Source organism: Homo sapiens, chromosome 2 (genome assembly GCF_000001405.40).
Source record: "Homo sapiens chromosome 2, GRCh38.p14 Primary Assembly".
NCBI classification, from domain to species: domain Eukaryota; kingdom Metazoa; phylum Chordata; class Mammalia; order Primates; family Hominidae; genus Homo; species Homo sapiens.
Window position 1 is genome coordinate 22,929,187 of NC_000002.12, and position 19,828 is coordinate 22,949,014.

General features: G+C 38.0%; 2 annotated features.

The window, feature by feature from the left end:
* Positions 16,695-17,194: an enhancer, noted in NCBI's record as "H3K4me1 hESC enhancer chr2:23168753-23169252 (GRCh37/hg19 assembly coordinates)". NCBI's record gives its function as "activates a minimal SCP1, AML or CMV promoter by ChIP-STARR-seq in primed H9 embryonic stem cells {active_cell/tissue: H9 hESC(primed)}" and the evidence as "EXISTENCE:reporter gene assay evidence [ECO:0000049][PMID:30033119]".
* Positions 17,289-18,065: an enhancer, noted in NCBI's record as "NANOG-H3K4me1 hESC enhancer chr2:23169347-23170123 (GRCh37/hg19 assembly coordinates)". NCBI's record gives its function as "activates a minimal SCP1, AML or CMV promoter by ChIP-STARR-seq in naive H9 embryonic stem cells {active_cell/tissue: H9 hESC(naive)}" and the evidence as "EXISTENCE:reporter gene assay evidence [ECO:0000049][PMID:30033119]".

Below are 19,828 nucleotides of genomic sequence, written 5' to 3' on the forward strand. Positions count from 1 at the left end.
CCAACCTGAGATGGAAGAATGGAAAGTGACAGAGAGTACTTTTACTTGTTGCTTTTCCTAACCTATATATTGTTCCCCATGAACATGTGTTCCTGTTAAACTTAAAATGTAAGAATTAACAATAAATTATTTTACATTTATAAAGTGGAATATTGTAAAACTGTTTAAAAGAATGGTGCTGTAGAAGACTAATGGCATGGAAAACGTTCACAGCATGTGACCCCACTTGATAAGAAGAGCTTTAAATCCCATTCACACATTCACACATGAATCCCTGACCACATTCAAACCAAGCTAGTTCAGGGCTTAAAATATTTATAAATTATTTGTTTTATTAATTATAAAACTTTTTGAAACTTGCTGGAAATAATTGAGTCAAAATAGAAACATAAAAATAAATATTTCCTATTCCTTAGGGATATCATTCTATTGTATGATCTTTTTACTTTTTCCATAAATATATAGATTTTCACTCTCTATATACATACACATATATATATACATATACACATTCTATTTTCTTAAGTAAAGATGGTATAACTCCTACTATTCTACAAGAATAAGAGAAGTGGTTCAAAAATGTGTGTATCATTCTTGCACTAGGGCTTTGTTAGTTTTTTTTTTTTTATATCCTTCTAAGGGTTTAATATGAACTGCTTTAGTGAGGATAGTGTTTAAAATATTATCAAAATTATAAAGACTTCTGAATTTAAAATGAGTTCAAAGACAATTAGCTTTAAAAGCCCAAAAGGCTTTATTGAGTTAACAGTGAGTTTAAAAAATGAAATTAATTTTAAACCATTGATTTTTTTTTCTAAAAGAGTAAGACATTTAAATTGTTTTTTAATTCAGTGTTTCAACTCAAAAAACTGAAATTAACTCAATTTAGCATTTCTATAGTGTTTGCAAATAGGTGTTAATATTCATATGGCCTAAACCCCACAGCATGCCAGCGTCTTGGACTGCTTTCTCTTCCCAGAAATCTGGATTGTGCAGTCAGCACTGGTGCCCTGGACAGCATTGCTTGGGAGATCAGTGATAGGTTGGGAATACCATTTACTTCTGGAGACTACCAAAGCCCCATTCAGTGTGATGGTTCTATGCCACACATCCTGGAAAGAATGACATTGATGTTTTAGGCTAACCTCTATTCTAGGGGAATCTAGTCTTGGAAAAACTTCATCCACCAGCTCTAATTGTTGCCATGCCCTGGAAGCTTGCTTCCTTGATCACGGTATCAGCTCTCACCTTCTGTTGTGCTTACTCTTGATGAAGACTCACTTCACTGAGAACTGGAGAAACAAGTCACCTCCTCTGAGTCCAGCGGCCCCTCCAGGACACTGCCACATGGCAGTCTTACATGAGAAGCAGAAGAGCAACACTGCTAAATGAGGCCACAAAGAAGGGAACCCAGGCACCTGACTGAGTCGTGTGATTCATGAAAGAATATTTTGAACCTCTCAAACATATCCATCAGTGAATCAGATTTTTGTGTTCCAACTCAAGGGCTCCCCAGGAAATCATTAGATGACCTAGAGAAAACGATCTAGCCCCTATGTGACTCAATTTCCTAAATGTAAAATGGGGATAATAAATAATACTTGTGTAATATAGTATTTTTAAAATGCTATCTTGACCCGGTTTTAGGCCCTGGCTAGAGGCTGGTAAGTTCCCCTTCTTGAGCAGCCAATTAAGTCCATACCCACAACCGTCATCCTTTGTTGGACTCTCACACTTCAGGCCTCTACACAGGCTCCCTAACTATACCAGGGCCAGGTGCCAGAGAGCCAGGAGCAGTTCTTATGCCTTAGAGCCTGATGAAGTTATTCAAACTAGCCAACAATAGGCCTGCTTGCAGCAGAAGCCATGAGAAAGTCGCCTGTTCACAGTTCCCCTCCCTCTCTCTGCCCTGTGACCCTTGTGCTTCTCTCCCCCGAACGGCCCTGCCCGGCATGCTCTGTTCTCCCCCAGGGAAGTGTGAGATAATAAAACTGTAAGACTCTTTCTTGTTTCTTTTTCTTGATTTGTGTCTGGGTTCACTATACCTCAACCAAGGAAATATGTCTAAAACAGCCTGCCCTGCATAACTCACAGATTGATTTGGAGACATATTAAGATAATGGATACAAAAGTCCTTTGGGGCCAGATACAAAGGCTCACGCCTGTAATCCCAGCACTTTGGGAGGCCGAGGCAGGCGGATTACATGATGTCAGGAGTTCGAGACCAGCCGGGGCAACATGGCGAAACCCAGTCTCTACTAAAAATACAAAAATTAGCCGGGCATGGTGGCACATGCCTGTAGTCCCAGCTAATCGGGAGACTGATGCAGGAGAATCACTTGAATCTAGGAGGTGGAGGTTGCAGTGAGTCGAGATGGTGCCACTGTACTCCAGCTTGGGCGACAGAGTGAGACTCCGTCTCAAAAAAAAAAAAAAAAAAAGTCCTTTGAACAGTCAGAGAGATTACAGACTTACAATATAGTCTGAGATGCCCTCTTCAGCAGCAGAGAGAAGCATGGCCTCAGGTGATGGACACACACTGTGGTACACGTCACTAGCACTCATCAACACCAAGTTCTCACCTTCCTGGACACCCTGGAGACTACATCTCCTAGATCCCTTGAACCTGGGCAGAGCCAAGTAATAATTTCTGAGCAAAGGCTGTGAGAGAAACTGATAATGTTTCACTTCCAGGTTGAGGCAAGAAAAACCCTGAAAGACACTCTAGTTCTCCCTTCACTTAGCAGTGGGCATGAAAATCAAGCATGGAGATTGCAGGACCACAAGTTCCAACAGCCTGGATAATTGATTCAAAGCATACTTGGGAGCCCCTGAGGGTTAATCTGACCTCTAGAAAAATTTTGCTTGGGTGAGAAATAGACTATAAGTCACTGAAATTTGGGGGTACTTTTTTCATAGCATAAGCTCAATCTAGCCTCTACAATACACAAACACATGCAATATTAAAATGCCCTGCAAAGCTTCTGACTTAAAGATACAAACAAATAGAACAGTTAGAACACAATTTTCCATATATAGTCTAAGTTACTAGAACCAGATAGCCAGGTGTTAAGTTGAAGAATTTTCCAAAGTAATAGCTTTAATATGGGTAGGAGAAGAAGGGAGATTGAGAATCCTAGTAGAGACTTTTCTGTGTTAAACAAATTAATGCTTCATCGTTCAAATCTACACAAATATCTAAAGTAAATCACTGGAGGATTTTTATCACTGGCCATAAGGAAGTAACTGGGAGCAGACTTGCCCTCCCTCTGCAAACAATTAGAAAACTACAAAAATATGAAACAATGTATATAATTGGACAATAAGAAGCATAGGATGGTGATCATGCAGAGAAAGGAAACAGAACAAAGACAGCTCTAGAATTGCCCCACTTGCTTCCTAGGAGCACTTTCCGGACTACAACTTAAGAAGGCAGAACACAAACAAAATGTGGTTCTCTGTGAGTTGAAGAGTTAGTGATCCGAATTTTGGGAGGCTGAAGCAGCCAAAATTTGGTCAAAGTTTCATAAAGGAGAGAGGTGTGCAGGAAAAAAAAAGATCCAGAAATCAGCATCGGGCCTCCTTGAGTCTTTTGCAGAATATTAAGCTGCGCATTCATGGAGGAATATCACACGGAGACAAGAGAGCTGTTCCATGCTGAGGCATGGAACGACTCACCATCTGTAAACTGAATAAATCTTAAAGCTTATATGAGACTGACAGGCATTTTACTCCCAAGAAGCCAGAGTTGCAAGATTTCACTGAACCTTCAGGGAACTCACTAGAGACCAGAAAAAGACCACAACTTAGAAATAAAGCTAAACTAGTCCTAGAGTAAATGTTATTCTATGCTTGCTCAAAAAAGAAAAAGAAAAAAAAAAGGAAAAGGAAAGAAAGCCTCAAAAAAAACTTTAACAAAAATCATCAAAAGGATCAAGCCATTCTGTAAGCAATTTAACCCATTTATGCTGGAGGTTGCAAATTTTTTTTGTGAAAAATCAGACCTTGGCAATGACCTTGAGCAGGATATAAATAATTCCCACAAGCTCAGCATTCCAATAATGGAACACTAGGCATAAATGGGTTAATTGCTTGCCAAAAACAAACAAAAAAAATCTTAACACTCTTTAAAGAAAGAAATAAAATCCATACATTCAACAATATAATAAACAATATCAGACATCCAATCAAATATCACTGGACAAAATATGGGGAAGCAAATGTGTATGACCTAAAATCAGAAGAAAAATTAATCAATAAAACATGCCCAGAAATCACAGAGAAAATAGAACTAGTCGAAGGAGAAATATACCTAGAAGGAGGCAGAAAACAGAAGATATAAAAAGAAACAAAAGTAATTCTACTGCTGAAAAATAGAATACCTAAAAAGAAAAACTCCCTACATGGGCTTTATAGCAGATTAGACACTGAGTAAGAAAAGCTTTGTGAATGTGAAGATATTGGAATTTTAAATCTACCAATATAACCACGAAGAGAAAAATCCTCCCAAAATAAATAAATAAATAAGCAGAACCTCAGTGATCTGTGTACAACGACAATAAGAGACAAACTATGGGAATGGAAAAATATTTGAGGACCTAATGCCCCAAATTATCCAAATTTGATGAAAACTACCAACCTACAGGGCGCTAAGAAGCTCAATGAAACCAACCAATATAAACACAAAGTAATACCAAACACATCGTAGTATACTAGCTCTAAAGCAGTGATAGAGAAAATATTCAAAAACTATTAGAGTAAAAAGATACACTAGACATAAAAGAGCAAATGTAAAAATAAACACAGATTGGCCGGGCGTGGTGGCTCAAGCCTGTAATCCCAGCACTTTGGGAGGCCGAGGCAGGTGGATCACAAGGTCAGGAGTTCAAGACCAGCCTGGCCAATATGGTGAAACCTGTCTCTACTAAAAATACAAAAATTAGCCAGGTGTGGTGGCATGCACCTGTAATCCCAGATACCCAGGAGGCTGAGGCAGGAGAATTGCTTGAACCCAGGAGGCAGAGGTTGCAGTGAGCCAAGATCACGCCAGTGCACTCCAGCCTGGGTGACAGAGCAAGACTCTTTCTCAAAAAAAACAATGAGTAAATAAACACAGATTTCAGGTATTAAAAAAAAAAAAAAAGAAACACAAATAAGAAGAAAATGGAATAATAGCTTTGAAGAGCTCAAAAAAAGTCCACCTAGAATTATATATTCAGTGAAAATACCGATAAAAATAAAAGTAGAATAAAGATATATTCAGACTAACAAAAGCTGAATCTATTGTTAGTAGAAAACTTTACTGCAAAAAGCAGTAAAGGAACTTCTTCTGTAAGCTGACCTTGACATAAAGGAAAGAAAACCAACAGAAATGGTAAATATATAAATAATTGTAAAAGATTGAATCTCATGTTTCCAATGAAATGTTTAAAGGCAAAAGTAAAATGTATTGTAGGACTTATAATAAAGGTGGAAAAAGAAATTATGGCAATGATTGCACCAATAACAGGAGGGAGCAAATGAGAGCAAACTGTTTTAAAACTCGTCTAGGCAAAGTGGTATAATTAAAAGTAGACTGTGAAGTGTTAAATATGCACATTTTAAGTGCTGGAGGAATGGTTTTCAAACTTTGGGATACATCAGATTCACCGAGACAGCTTAATGAGACAGATGGCTGGGTCATATCAACAGAGTTTTTGATTCAGTAAGACTGGAAATGGGCCTATGCCAAGGCTAGAGAAACAAGGCTGATAAGAGAATATATCAGCTAATATTGATGGACTATGAACCACACTTTGAGAATCACCACCCAAGAGCAACCTCCAGTAGCAGAGATAAAATGGAATATTTCACAATACTACATACAAATGAACAAAGAAGAGGAAGAAGAAAAGACCAAAGAAAACATGAACAAATAGAAAACAGAAGGAAGAATAGTAGACTTAACAAAGTGTTAAGTGATAACTACATTAAATATACTCAAATTAAAAGACAGAGATTTCCAGAACAGATAACAAAGCTAAGCCCAATTGTGTGCTCCACAAAAACTCATTTTAAATATGAAGATTCAGATAGATTAAATGTAAAAATAGACAAATAATAAAATAGATTAAAAGAAAGAAGATGGATTAAAAGAAAAAGGTGGACAAATCACAGTAATATGAAAATTTTCGTATTTTTATATTATGATAAGAAAATTGACCATTCTTGAGCATTCATTATCATAAATGTGTAAGCATCTAACAACAGCTTCCAAATACAAAAGCTGACAGAACAAAAGTAAAAATAGAAAACTCTACTACTATATCTTGTTTATACTATATCATAAGAATATAGAAGACTTGAATAACACTCTCAAACTACTTGACCAAAATGACATTCATAGCATATTATATTCAATAATGACAAAGTACACACTATTTTCAAATACACATGGAACAGCAACCAAAATATACTATATTCTGGGTGGTACAACAAGTCTCAATAAATGTAAGATAATTTAAATTACATACACTATATTCTCTGACTAAAATAGAATTAAACTATAAATAACAAAAACAAAAAATATACAAATATTTGGAATTTAATGCATTTCTAAATATTTCATGGTTCAAAGTATAAAGCAAAAAGAAATTTAGAAAATATTTTGAACTACATAGTAATAGAAGAACAATTTATCAAAATTTGTGAGGTACGATTAAAGTAGTAGAGTAAAATTTGTAGTTTAAATGCTACCTTAGAAAAGCAAAAATGCCTGAAATCAAGAATCCAAATTTCCCCTTTGAGTCTAAATAAATGAACAAATTAAACCCAAAGTTAGAAAAAGATAGGAAGTAATATATATAGGAACAGAAATCAATGAATTAGAAAACAAAGAATGGAGAAATACTAGTGAAATTAAAAACTGGAAATTTAAAAACCTCAATAAAATTTGTTAAAAGTAGAAGATATAAATTACCAATATCAGAAATTAATGATGGGATATTACTATTATTATAATAGTCATTTCAGAAGAAGAGAATACTATGAACAATTACATGGCTATAAATTTGACAACTTAGATTAAATGGGCAAATTTTTTTTGAAAAATACAAATTAGCAAAACAGCACAAGAAACGGAAAATCTAATAGCAATAATCCATTAAAATAAATCAATTTGTGATTTAAAGCCTTCTAATAAAGAAGACTGCTGACAGATACATATGTATTCACTAGTGAAGTCTATTAAACACTTAAGAAAGTAATAATTTCTTTTTTTTTTTTTTTTTTTTGAGATGGAGTCTCGCTCTGTCGCCAGGCTGGAGCGCAGTGGCATGATGATCTCAGCTCACTGCCAACTAGAAAATGGTGATTTCACACCCACTATAGGTCAGACCTTTACCATGCATTTTACATCCATTATCCCACTTAATGTATTAAGCCACCCTATAAAATAATTGTTAATTTCATCGTTTTAAGGATGGAAAAGCTGAGGATCAGAGAAATGACCCGTCTGTAAACACAGAACTAGAAGAAGGCACAGGGCCCATCAATATCTCTGTCTCGATCCTATAGCATCCTAATCACAGGTATCTCTGCTGCCTCGTACACTAGGCTATATATATAAAGGAGTCATATGTTATTTTGCTTTGCACTCATGTGGATACGTACACTAGGCTATATATATAAAGGAGTCATACGTTATTCTTCTTTGCACTCATGTGGATAGCACAGTCCCTGTTATGGAGTTGCTATTTCTTTTTTTCCAGTCTTTGTGTGGTATAGAACTATCAGAGACAGACAGGTGAGGGCTGTGGTAGTCAAATAGGGCTTTTTTTTTTTTTTTTTTTTTTCCTGAGACAGAGTCTCTCTCTGTCACCAGGTTGGAGTGCAGTGGCACGATCTCAGCTCACTGCAACCTCCGACTCTCTGGTTCAAGCAATTCTCCTGCCTCAGCCTCCCGAGTAGCTGGGATTACAGGCATGCACAGCCATGCCCGGCTAATTTTGTATTTTTAGTAGAGACGGGGTTTTACCATGTTAGCCAGGATGGTCTTGATCTCCTGACCTCGTGATCCACCCTCCTCGGCCTCCCAAAGTGCTGGGATTACAGGCGTGAGCCACCACACCTGGCCGAAAGTAATAATTTCTACACCAAGACTCTTTCAAATGAGAAGATGTAAGTATGTTTTGTATTTCATGTTATGAGGTTGTCATTAATGTCATACCAAAACTAGACAAAGATATATAAGTAAAGCAAATTGAAGACCAATATATTTTATAATACAGAAACAAAGTTTCTTAACAAAATGTTAGCACATAAGATAATACAATACATGAAAGTGTAGGCCAGGTGCAGTGGCTCATGCCTGTAATCCCAGTGGTTTGAGAAGCCGAAATGGGAGGATTACTTGAGGCCAGGAGTTGCAGGCCAGCCTGGGCAACAGAGTGAAGCCCCATCTCTACACAAAAATAAAAAACATTAGCTGGGCATGGTGGTGCACACCTGTAGTCCTAGCTACTCAGGAGGCTCAGATGGGAGCATTGCCTGAGCTTAGGAATTTGAGGCTGCAGTGAGTTGAGATCATGCCACTGCATTAGAGCCTGGGCCACCCTCTAAAATAATTAAGTAATTAATTAATTTAATATACATAGGAAGTCCTAATAAATCTACATAAAAGCTTTTAGAACTAAGAATGAGTTTAATAGAGTTACAGGAAACAAGATCAATATACAAAAATCAATTATGTACTAAAACAATTGGAAATTGAATTTTTTAAAATATCATTTAGAATACATCAAAAATGAAATACTCTGGAATAAAATTAACAAAATACGTGCAAGCTTTGTTTACTTGAAACTGTAAAATTTGGCTTTAAAAAATTAAGGAAGACTAAAATAATGGGTACACATTACATGTTTATGAATGGAAGACTCATAATGTTAATTCTCTCCAAATTGATCTATCAATTTCAACTGAACCTAAATTCTCAGCAGAATGCTTTAAGAAAGTGACTTGTTTCCCAAGTATATATGAAAATTTAAGAAATATAGAATACTTAAAACAATTTTAGAAAAAATAAAAACAGAACAATTATACAACCTAATTTCAAGATTTACTATAAACTTATAGTAAGACATAGAAATAGACACATAGATCAATAAGAAAGAATTTCAAGCCTAAAATACACACACACTATATATACATATAGTCAACTAATTTTTAGATGCCAAGGTAATTCAATTGGGAAATAATTATTTTCCCAGCAAATGATGCTGGAACAACCAAATATCCATATGGAAAAATACAAAGCCCAACCAGTTACCTCACACCTTAACTATCACACATAAAAGCTAATGTGAAGTGATCATGGGCTTAAGTATAAAAACTTAAAACTCTGAAACTTTGGAAGAAAGCATAGGAAAAAATCTTTGTGACTTTAGATTGCTTAGATAGAATCAAAAAACTTATTGTTTTGATAGGACCAAAGATTTCTTAGATAAGGCAAAAAAAGTAAACACTGATAATTTGGATTTCATCCAAATTTCAAACATTTGTTCTTCAAAATGCGCGAATCAAATAGCGCTAATAGGCTATGTTCATATATTTTCAATACATACATCTGACAAATGATTTCTATCCAGAATATATACCATACTCTTACGATTCAACAATATGAAGACAAACAATGCAATTTTTTAAAAGGGCAACACATTTAAACAGAAATATAAAAGAGAGAGAAGTAAACCTGAAAAGATGCTTAAAACCCTTAGTCATAAGGAAATGTAAATTAAAACTAATACATATATTAGAATGGCCAACACCTTAAAAGACTGGTAATGCCAAGCGTTGGTCAAGATATGAAGCAACTTGCATTCTCATACATTGCTGGTAGAAGTATACCACTTTGAAAAACAATTTGTTGGTTTCCTATAAAGTTATGCATACTTTTACCATATTAACAAGTAGTACTACTCCTAGATATTTACCCAAGAGAAATGAAAACATATGTTCTCTTATGGAAACATCTGACCTGAAATACATTGAAAACCACCCCAATATCTATCAACAGGTGAATGGATAAACAAATGTATATTGTGTTGTATTTATACAATGGATAGTATTTTACCCCACTTCTATAAAAAGAACAAACTACTGATACATGCAACAAAACAGATTTATCTCAAAAACATATTCTGACAAAGAAAAAAAAGCCAGTCACAAAGAATAGGTATTGTATGGTTCCATTTATTTAAATTCCTATCATAATGCAAATCAAATCTAAAATCACATAAAGCAGATCAATGATTGCCTGGGCCAAATATGTGGTAGTAGAGATTGACTACAAACAAACAGGAAGGAGCTACTGCAAACAGAAAGGAACATTCTGGAGTGATAGAAATCTCTATCTTTGTTGTGCTTGTGGTTAATGAGCATAGATATTTATCCAAACTCATTGAATTGTATACTTAAAATGAGTTAATTTAAGTGTATGTAAATACCCTGGTATACTTTTACTTTAAAAAAGGTAACCAATTAAAGGTATAGGCTGTTTGTCAATATGAAAATATGAAATGTACTTGAATCTCTATTTTATGGTAGAAATACAGACAAAAGGACTCTAGCTCAAGTTCAGATGCCTACATCCATCTCTGGTTAATATAACAATAGAAGGAAGTTAGCATGTCTGCCCAGCTGTCCCTTCAAAGGACCATCTGAAACAGAAATATCAAAGGACATCTGTGAAACAAAATTTGAGCATCTTATTTTACCTAATTAACCCAGGCTTTGTGGAAGCAACAAAGAACATGAAGAAAGATTTCTCTTCTTCCACTGGTACCACTCAACTCCTTCAATAAAGACAAACAAAAGAAATGAAAGGAGAAGATAGAGGGGAAACCCAAGTTCGAATCCCAGCTCCTCTACTTACCAGCCACGTGACTTTGGTAAGGTTCTTACCTCTTTCAGACTTGCTCTTCACATTTGTGAAATGAAGACAGTGTGTAACTCACATTGTTTGGAAATATTAATGAAATAATACATGGAAAAATACTTGGCAATATTTGAAATGTAATATGCTTATAGTAAGTGGTAGTTATGGAAAAAGAGGTGGCCACATAATTCATTTTTTCTTATATCAATATGTGTTACTGGGAATTCCTGGGATTTCTAAAAAGTTTACTGTATTTTTCAAACATTTCAACAGTGCCTTTAAAGTACTATAACTTTTGCTATCAGAATATACTCAAAATAAAATATTTATATATCATATAATATATATATTTGTAAAAAATATATTTACAAATTAAAATAATACACAGAAGTTATATATTGTATTGCATTTTTTCTTTTATCTTTTGTTTCTTCTATAGAAAAACTTTTAGAAATGCAAAAAGGATGCATGGATGATGAATTTCAAGTACTTAGGGAAACCAGAGGGAACAGGTCAGGCAGTTTAAATTTAGTCTGGATTTCCTTTCTCCTGCAAAGTTTGGAAGGAAACGAGGTAACCACTTTAAATATGAGAAAGTAGGAAATTCTTATCTGCCCTTGTGGATGATGAGACGTGAAGAGATCCATATCTATAAGTCTTAAATAAATATAATGGCTGACCATCCTCAATGTTTAAATCCTACAAATCATCCAGGTTTATTCAAAGATGTATTTACAGTTGCTAAACTTATTGAAATCTGTTCAGCTGTTGACAGGCAACAAGCAGATGGAGTTTAGGATTAGTGAATTCAAATCATCAAGCTCACGAATTGAAAGAATCGACTCAGTGTAAGAAAAGACTGCATTGCTGAAGATAAAATGAAAGAGTAACCTTTACACACCAGCATTTTACTGCTGGAAAGTTCCAAACACTGATGAAAACAGTTGGTTGTCCATCTGGAAAAAGTACTTAAAATTAGCTTAAATGCAGACTGCTATTTGAAGGTAACGATTGTTTTGCGTAGATGTCCATTCTGTTCACATGTAGTCCTAACACTGGAATCTCAGATACCTTGATGCTGAGATATCTTCTGTAACTCTAAAAGCTACCAGTGAATGACTTTAAAATTGAAACAGTCTGCAGGTAGTAACTAATGTCAGCAATTTATGATGAATTCAGCCTATGAAAATGCCAGATGTTAGGCTATAAGATATATATGACTGCATTTAACAAGTTTTTCTTTTCACATAATAATTCTAGGCTTTTAATAAAGTCTTCTAATCAATAGTAAACTGCCTGACCAAAGCTATTAGCCTTAGCATTAGAAGGCTAAAAGGTAATACTATCCCAATTATATCATAGCTGCTAAGATGGCATAGAAGCAATTAGCCTGGAAATATGGTTAAATTACTTAAGTGTTACCTTGAATAAACCAGGAAGCAGACACACCAATTTCCAGAATTAAAGTCACAATGAACCCACATAGCAAGTCTATAGCTGCTTAGTAAGTCCTTTTGGATATCTTGTTCTGCCCCGGGTATATGAAAGTTCATAATCCTTTCCACAGACTTACTGGCCAGAAGGGTTATATCAAAGTAGTATAGTCTCTTCTCTAGCTACTAGAGTTCCTTGTACATTCATTAGCCAGGCACTCACTTTAGGAAAGGTAAGGCAGACACGTGCCCACCAAAACATCCATAGGCTCCTCTACTTTTCATAGCTTCCCTTGCTTTGTGTTGCAGCCATGTAACTGGGTTCTGGACAATGGAATAGGAGTGGAAGTGATAAACCACATGGCCTGACTGTGAACATCTCCTCATGATGGGCTCCTCCAGCCCTTTCCCTTCTGTGGTAATGCCAGGCAATTAGACAGAAGCAGCCTAAGACTCAGAACTCACTTCTTGGAGGAAAGACATGGGAGAAATACCCAAGACACAATGAGTAGCATTGCCTCAGAAAAATATCAACATCCTCCTTTTTGTTGTTATTGTTAAGCCACTGGGATTTCAGGATGTACTTGTTATTGCAGCATAGCCCACCATATCCTGACAAATACAGAGCTAATAAAAGTGTCTTTCTGTTCTACAATAACACAGCAGGCAATACTTTTGGTTCCTTTTTATGCCTGATGCATTCCTGAGAGACTTCTGTTATAAAAGAGAACCTTGCTTAATATTCAACCAACAAGAGGATTTGGATGTGTAAGAGTAATTTCAGCCACTTTCAAAAATTAAGAATAATATAACCTTGCATTTGTGCAGCATTTTCAGCCTTTTTCATAACGCTTTCAGTACAAATCTTTACAACAGCCCTAGAACGTTTTTGTGGATTTTTTAAGTATGTAAAATTCCAATTTTATGATTGAACAAAGTGTGTGACAGCAGGATTTTAAGTGAGGTGTCCAGTCACCCAGCTAGTCAGCAGCAGAGATGAGACAGGCTGCTGCCTTTAGTCCTTTTGTAATCAAGAAATGCTGCACGCTTGCAGGCCTGTTGCAGATTTTTACAAGCTTCACTTTTAATAACCTTCCTCATTGCATTCCTGACTTATTACCTCCCTGGATCCCAGCGCTCTTATTTATATTCAGACTCATTCCGGCTCCATATCCCGACGTTTATGCTGTGTTTACTGTGTTGTCTCCTAACTAGAGTCCATTATCTGCTGAAACAAGAAGGACGTTCACGAATAAAACACATCTTGCCTGTAGCTGCCAGACTAGTGGAGCCCATCACAGGGGGCAAAGATGTATCTCTGCTGCCAGGGGTAACCTGCTGTTTTCATATAAGCATCCCCTTTGGTGAAGAACTGGCTCCAACACTAGGAGAGGGACTAGAAGGCTTACTCTAGGGAAGCATGCCGAGCAACTTTACAAAGCCTCACTTCCAGGCAAGCTTTGCCCCCTGGCCAGGAACCAGGCCTCAGGGTAGATAACCCCATTCACCACTGCTGAGTAGACCCTGCATCAGAGAGGTTGCACGTGTAGTCTTGACTTAAACAGAAGAAAGACTTTAGGAAGGTGGCTGGAAAACACTTGACCTAAATGGACTACTTGGAATCTTTAACACAGCTCAAAGCCAGGCTCAAAAGCTGTCCACCACTTCCTACCTGGATTGTGATCTTGCCCATTTAAAATAAAATAGCAGGGGAGAGGGCTTGCTTAGGCAGTGCAGGGGGGCCTGGAGAAGGAGCTGCACACCAGGGGATCAGCTCTCACCAAGAGTCATAGGACAGGTTGAGGCCCTCCTTCCTCCTTTCTGCCAGGTATTTCTGGCCATGACAGAAGATGGTGAAACATGGGCTGAAATGTAGGGATAATGTACACCCTTTTGGCTATGAAGTCAGACAATCACCTTTTCAAAATCTGGCCCAGTACTTAATAGCTGGGTGAGCTGGGTTAAGTTATTTAACCTCTCTATGACTTGGTTTTCTCGTATGTAAAATAGGGAATAAGAATGACTACCTTTGCTGAGTTAAGGATTAGCTATTATATATACAAATGCATATATATATAAATGTATATATATACACACATACACATAGAATGCTTAGTGCAGCAGAAGGCCTGGCCTATGATTGGCCCTCAGTAATAAAATGATTCTGTGCTCTTGGTCTGATTTCTCCCTCCCTACCCCTGTGAAAACTCCCAATCCCTGAAACAAACAGGCCTTCTTTGAATGGATCTGAAGCCTAGCACAGTGCCCAGCATTTAGTAAGCACTCAATATATATTCATTGAACTGAATTGAACTAAATTGTACCCAGAATTTTATATACATAGGTGATTTCCTTGGTTTATTTTACTGGTTTCTATATTCCTCTAAAAAATAAGTTTGACTTAGCCCTGCCTAGAGCTTGAGTATCTTCGCTGCATTTATGAAGTGTTCACAATTTTTTGTGTATGAGTCATTTTATATATGATCCTGTGTTTTCATATAAATATATTAATACTATGGTGCAATTTAAAAAAAAGACCAAAATGGATATTACTATCTAAAGCCATGCACTTTGGACTGGTATTCTGAAAAAAAGTGGGAGAGACTTCCAAAAAGTCTTTAGTGTTATAGCTCTATGTGGAAGAAGGTTGATAGTTTAATGCTGCAGAATATGTCATCTATGCCTGTCATGGGATCTTAAGATTAGAAGGGAACTTAGAGGTCATCTAGTTCTACCCCTACCCAGGCAACGTCTGCCAGCTCCTATCAGGAAACCTATGAACAGCTCCGGCTCCACAGGCTCTGGCACCAACCCCAAGTCAACCGCCAGGCCCCGGGGCAGCAGGTGCCCACAGCTAAGGGGGAGCTAATGGATCTGTGCAGACGGTGTTGACCACTGCTCATGAAGGAGTCCTGCCGGGTCCTCTTCATCTTACAAAATTAAACAGGAATGTTTGAGGTTTATTGAATCAGACGTACTCTTAGGGCATAGAGCCCTAGAGTGTTACATATGCACATATGTACCTCCAAAGACTGAGATGCAGTTATACCCACAGGGAGGGGACTCAGTGGGCACAAAGCACAAATCACAATGTAGTTCACAGACAACCTTCTATTCCTGGAGGTCACATACAGTCATGCATTGCTTAACGACAGGGATCTGTTCTGAGAAATGCATCCTTAGGAAATTTCATCGTTTATGTGAATGTCATAGAGTGTACTTACACAAACCTAAGTGGTATAGCCTACTATATGCCTAGGCTATATGGTGTAGCCTATCACTCCTAGGCTACAAATTTGGACAGCATGTCACTATGTTAAATACAGTGAGCGATTGTAACACAGTGGCAAGTATTTGCATATCTAAACACAGAAAAGTTACAGTAAAAATACGGTAATAACAATTAAAAAACAGCACATCTGTATAGGGCACTTAACTATAAATGGAGCTTACAGAACTCAGAGTTCCTCTGGGTAAGTCAGTGAGTGAGTGATGAATGTGGAGGCCTAGGACACAACTGTATACCACTTTAGACTTTCTAAACACCATATATATATAAGGCTACACTTAAGTTATACAAATTGTTTTCTTTAATACTAAATTAACCTTAGCTTTTGTAAATATGTAATTTTTTTACTTTAGAGACTTTTTACTATTTTAAAACTTTTGGACTCTTTTGTAATAACACTTGCTTAAAACATGAACACATTGTAGAGCTGTACAAAAATATTTTCTGGGCTGGGCACAGTGGCTCATGCCTGTATTCCCAGCACTTTAGTAGGCCGAGGCAGGTGGATCACCTGAGATCAGGAGTTTGAGACCAGCCTGGCCAACATGGGGAAACCCCATCTCTACTAAAACCACAAAAATTAGCCGGGCGTGTTGGCGCACGCCGATAGTCACAGCTACTTGGGAGGCTGAGGCAGGAGAATCACTTGAACCCTGGAGGTGGAGGTTGCAGTGAGCTGAGATCATGCCACTACATTCCAGCCTGGGCAACAGAGAGACTCCATCTCCCAAAAAAAAAAAAAAAATTCTTTCTTTATATCCTTATTATATAAGTTTTATATATTTATTTATTTATTTATTTATTTTACTTTGTAAACTTTTTTGTTAAAAACTAAGACACAAGGCCAGGCGCGGTGGCTCACACCTGTAATCCCAGCACTTTGGGAGGCCGAGGCGGGTGGATCACGAGGTCAGGGGATCGAGACCATCCTGGCTAACACAGTGAAACCCCATCTCTACTAAAAATACAAAAAATTAGCCGGGCGAGGTAGCGGGGCCTGTAGTCCCAGCTACTCGGGAGGCTGAGGCAGGAGAATGGCGTGAACCCCGGGGGGCGGAGCCTGCAGTGAGCCGAGATCGCGCCACTGCACTCCAGCCTGGGCGACAGAGCGAGACTCCGTCTCAAAAAAAAAAAAAAAAAAAACTAAGACACAAACACTCATTAGCCCAGGCCTATACAGGATCAGGATCACCATTATCACTGTCTTCCACCTCCATGTCTTGTCCCATTGGAAGGACTTCAGGGTTAATAACCCACACAAAGCTTTCATCTCCAATGATAACAATGCCTTCTTCTGGAATATTTCCTGAAGGACCTGCCTCAGCTGTTTTACAGTTATTTTTTATATATAGAAGCAGGAGTACACTCTACATAGTGATAAAATATATAATGTAGCAAATAAATAACCCAGTAATACAGTCATTTATTATTAAGTATTATGTATTGTATGTAATTGTATGTGCTATACTTTATAAGACTGGCAGTGCAATAGGTTCGTTTACACCAGCATCACCACAAACACACAAGCAATGCATTGTTCTACAATGTTCCCACAGCTAAGGTATCACTAGGCGATAGGAATTTTTCAGTACATTTTCAGCCTATGGACCACTGTAGTATATGCAGTCTGTCATTGATCATAACTTTGTTATACAGCGCATGACTGCCTTCCTTTTTTAAGAACATCTGCTTTGATTATTAACCTAGACTTCATGTACTGCATACTTCTGTTGTGAAAATGTGTCTTCAGGCAGGCATTTGTAGTACCTGCTTTATATCTTTGGGAGCCAGTGGGTGGAAGTGGCATTAAATCCTGCAAATGTAGGTAGTCGAAGGCCTGGTCCAGCCAGTGACCCAGTAAGTACATTAGTCTGTCCCTTGAATGGCTAAGATTTAGCTTCTTCCTCAGAAGAACTAGACTTGGGCCATGGCTGGTCCCTTATCTGCATGACTAAAGGTCTCATTTACATTTTAAATCACTGTTGTGTCATCGGGTTCCATTTTGATAGCTGTGAAGTACATTGAAAATTTTTCCTCTGAACAGTAAATAGTTTACTTCTCAAACAGCATAATTTTTGAAGCTTTTATTCCATGCCATGACTGTGTTTAAGAAAGCTGTCAAGTTTTGGAATTTCGTGGAGAAATGTGAAGTGGCCTTTGTAAACTGCAGAGGAACCTTCTGAGGCCTGACATTTTGAAGGTGATGGCTCTATTTACATATACATTGTCCTTCCAAGGAAATGCTGTAGGTTTAGATTTGGGATTACTGTAGGAGGCCTTATCTTTCTTATGTTCATGTATGCATTCATTCATTCACTCACTCACTCATTCATTTTTTCATTCCAAAGAGTGTATGGTTTCGTCTTTGATATCTGGGGAGGTCAGGCTCCTGTCCTGTCATGGAGGAAAGAAACAGAAGTCAGGAGCCATGGCTGCCTAAAGTCGAGTCCAGGTACCCAAGTAAATAAGCAACATATATTCTTAGCAATTATGAGTATCTGGACTCCTTCCAGAGGCCGCCTCAAGAAAACCAACTTGCATTTCTCCCCATAGTAAGACTTTGGCTTTGACCTCTGCCTGTTGGCTCCTTGGCTTGAGTTGCTGAAGCTAGCAAAGCTCTAGGCAATTTGTTCTCGCCCTTGGCTCGAGAAATAGCGCTAACAAGGGGAGGAGGCTGGGAGAGGAGGGAACAGGGTTTCTGCAAGCACCACTTCTAGAAAGAAAAAGCTAACCCTGCACCCAGTACCTCCCATGGCTGCCAATCCAGAGCTGCTGTAGCGACTTTAACTACCATGGTCTGAGCTGTAAGGACATCACAGACCCTGGGCTAAGAGCATAGAGGTGGCAACCTATGGGACACTCACACCCACCCTGAGAGGCAAATAGCAGTGTCCTGTTTTTGCAGATGATAAAACCGAGGACACAAAGGGCACAGAGGTCACCCAAGTCCCTCTCGATTAACAGGTGTCTGGGTTGGGATACAAAGCAATTGCTGGGCCACAATACCTCCCTCAGCCAGCTACCATATTAGAAAGAAGCCGGGAATGGGAGCCAGGGCATGCCTGAAATTGTTACCCTTTTGTAATTTCAGCGGGGTTAGAGTATGTATTGCTTGTTTCCCCATTTCACTTCCACATGGTGATCATGAGTAAAGGTCATCGGGCCTAGGGCTTATGGTGCCTCCCACACTGAATAACCCCAAGGGATATAATGGAGCTAGAGGAAGTAAAAATAAAAATTAAAGACAAAGACTGAGTTAGTGGATCACATTTAAAGAAAAAAGCAGTGTTGGACCTGGATTTAGGAAAAACCTCCAGGATGCAGCTATCACAAAGGTTCTATGTTTGGCCACAAATGCCTGAAAGTTTGATTTAAGCACAGAGGACCTCAGGTGAAAAGAGTGAGTAGCTTAAACCTAAATATAAGTTATGGATTTGTTCATTGTTTTCCCTCATTTGACCTACTTCAGTTCCTCTTAATCATGAAGTATACATAGCCACGCACCCAAGAATGGGAATATACATTGAAACGGGGAAGAAAGCCTCTGGCCATTGTTCATTCAGTTCATTCAGCGAGTACACAGATCCTGAGTCCCATTTCCATGCTAGGGGCAGGCTCAGCGCCCTCAAGGATCTACAGAGAATCTTGTATCTGAGAAGACAGAACTCCAAAGCAGAGGCGTGCAGAGGGCCAAAGGCTGTCACACACGGGACAGAAGGCACCGTCTTCAATGTCCACCATCTTTGATCCTTGGTCACTGAAGAAGAGGCTCACATTTTCAACTCAGCTATGCAGATCTCGCAGGTAGGAGTGGAGAAAACCAGAATGCCAGTGCGCTGCATGAAGCAAGAGCCAGGAAGAGAGGCTCAAAGCCCGCACCTTTCTGTGACTAGTAGAAAGCAGCACACAGGGCCATTTCCAACAGGCCACAGGTCCACAGATGGAATAAGGTTCATACTCTCAAAATAATCTGGTCATAGATGTCCCAGGAGATTATGGTAACTATTACTTTTATGTATTTTTTAGTCACATAGAGTGACAATGGAGAGATGAGATCTGCCAAAGGATTCATCAGGACAACAATATTTAGTGTGGGTACTGAAAACTGAGAAAGAGCGTATGGAGAAAGGAAAGGAAGGTATTCCAAGTGGAGAAAATCATGTTTGCAAAGGTCAAGGCGGTTCCCCCTCCTGA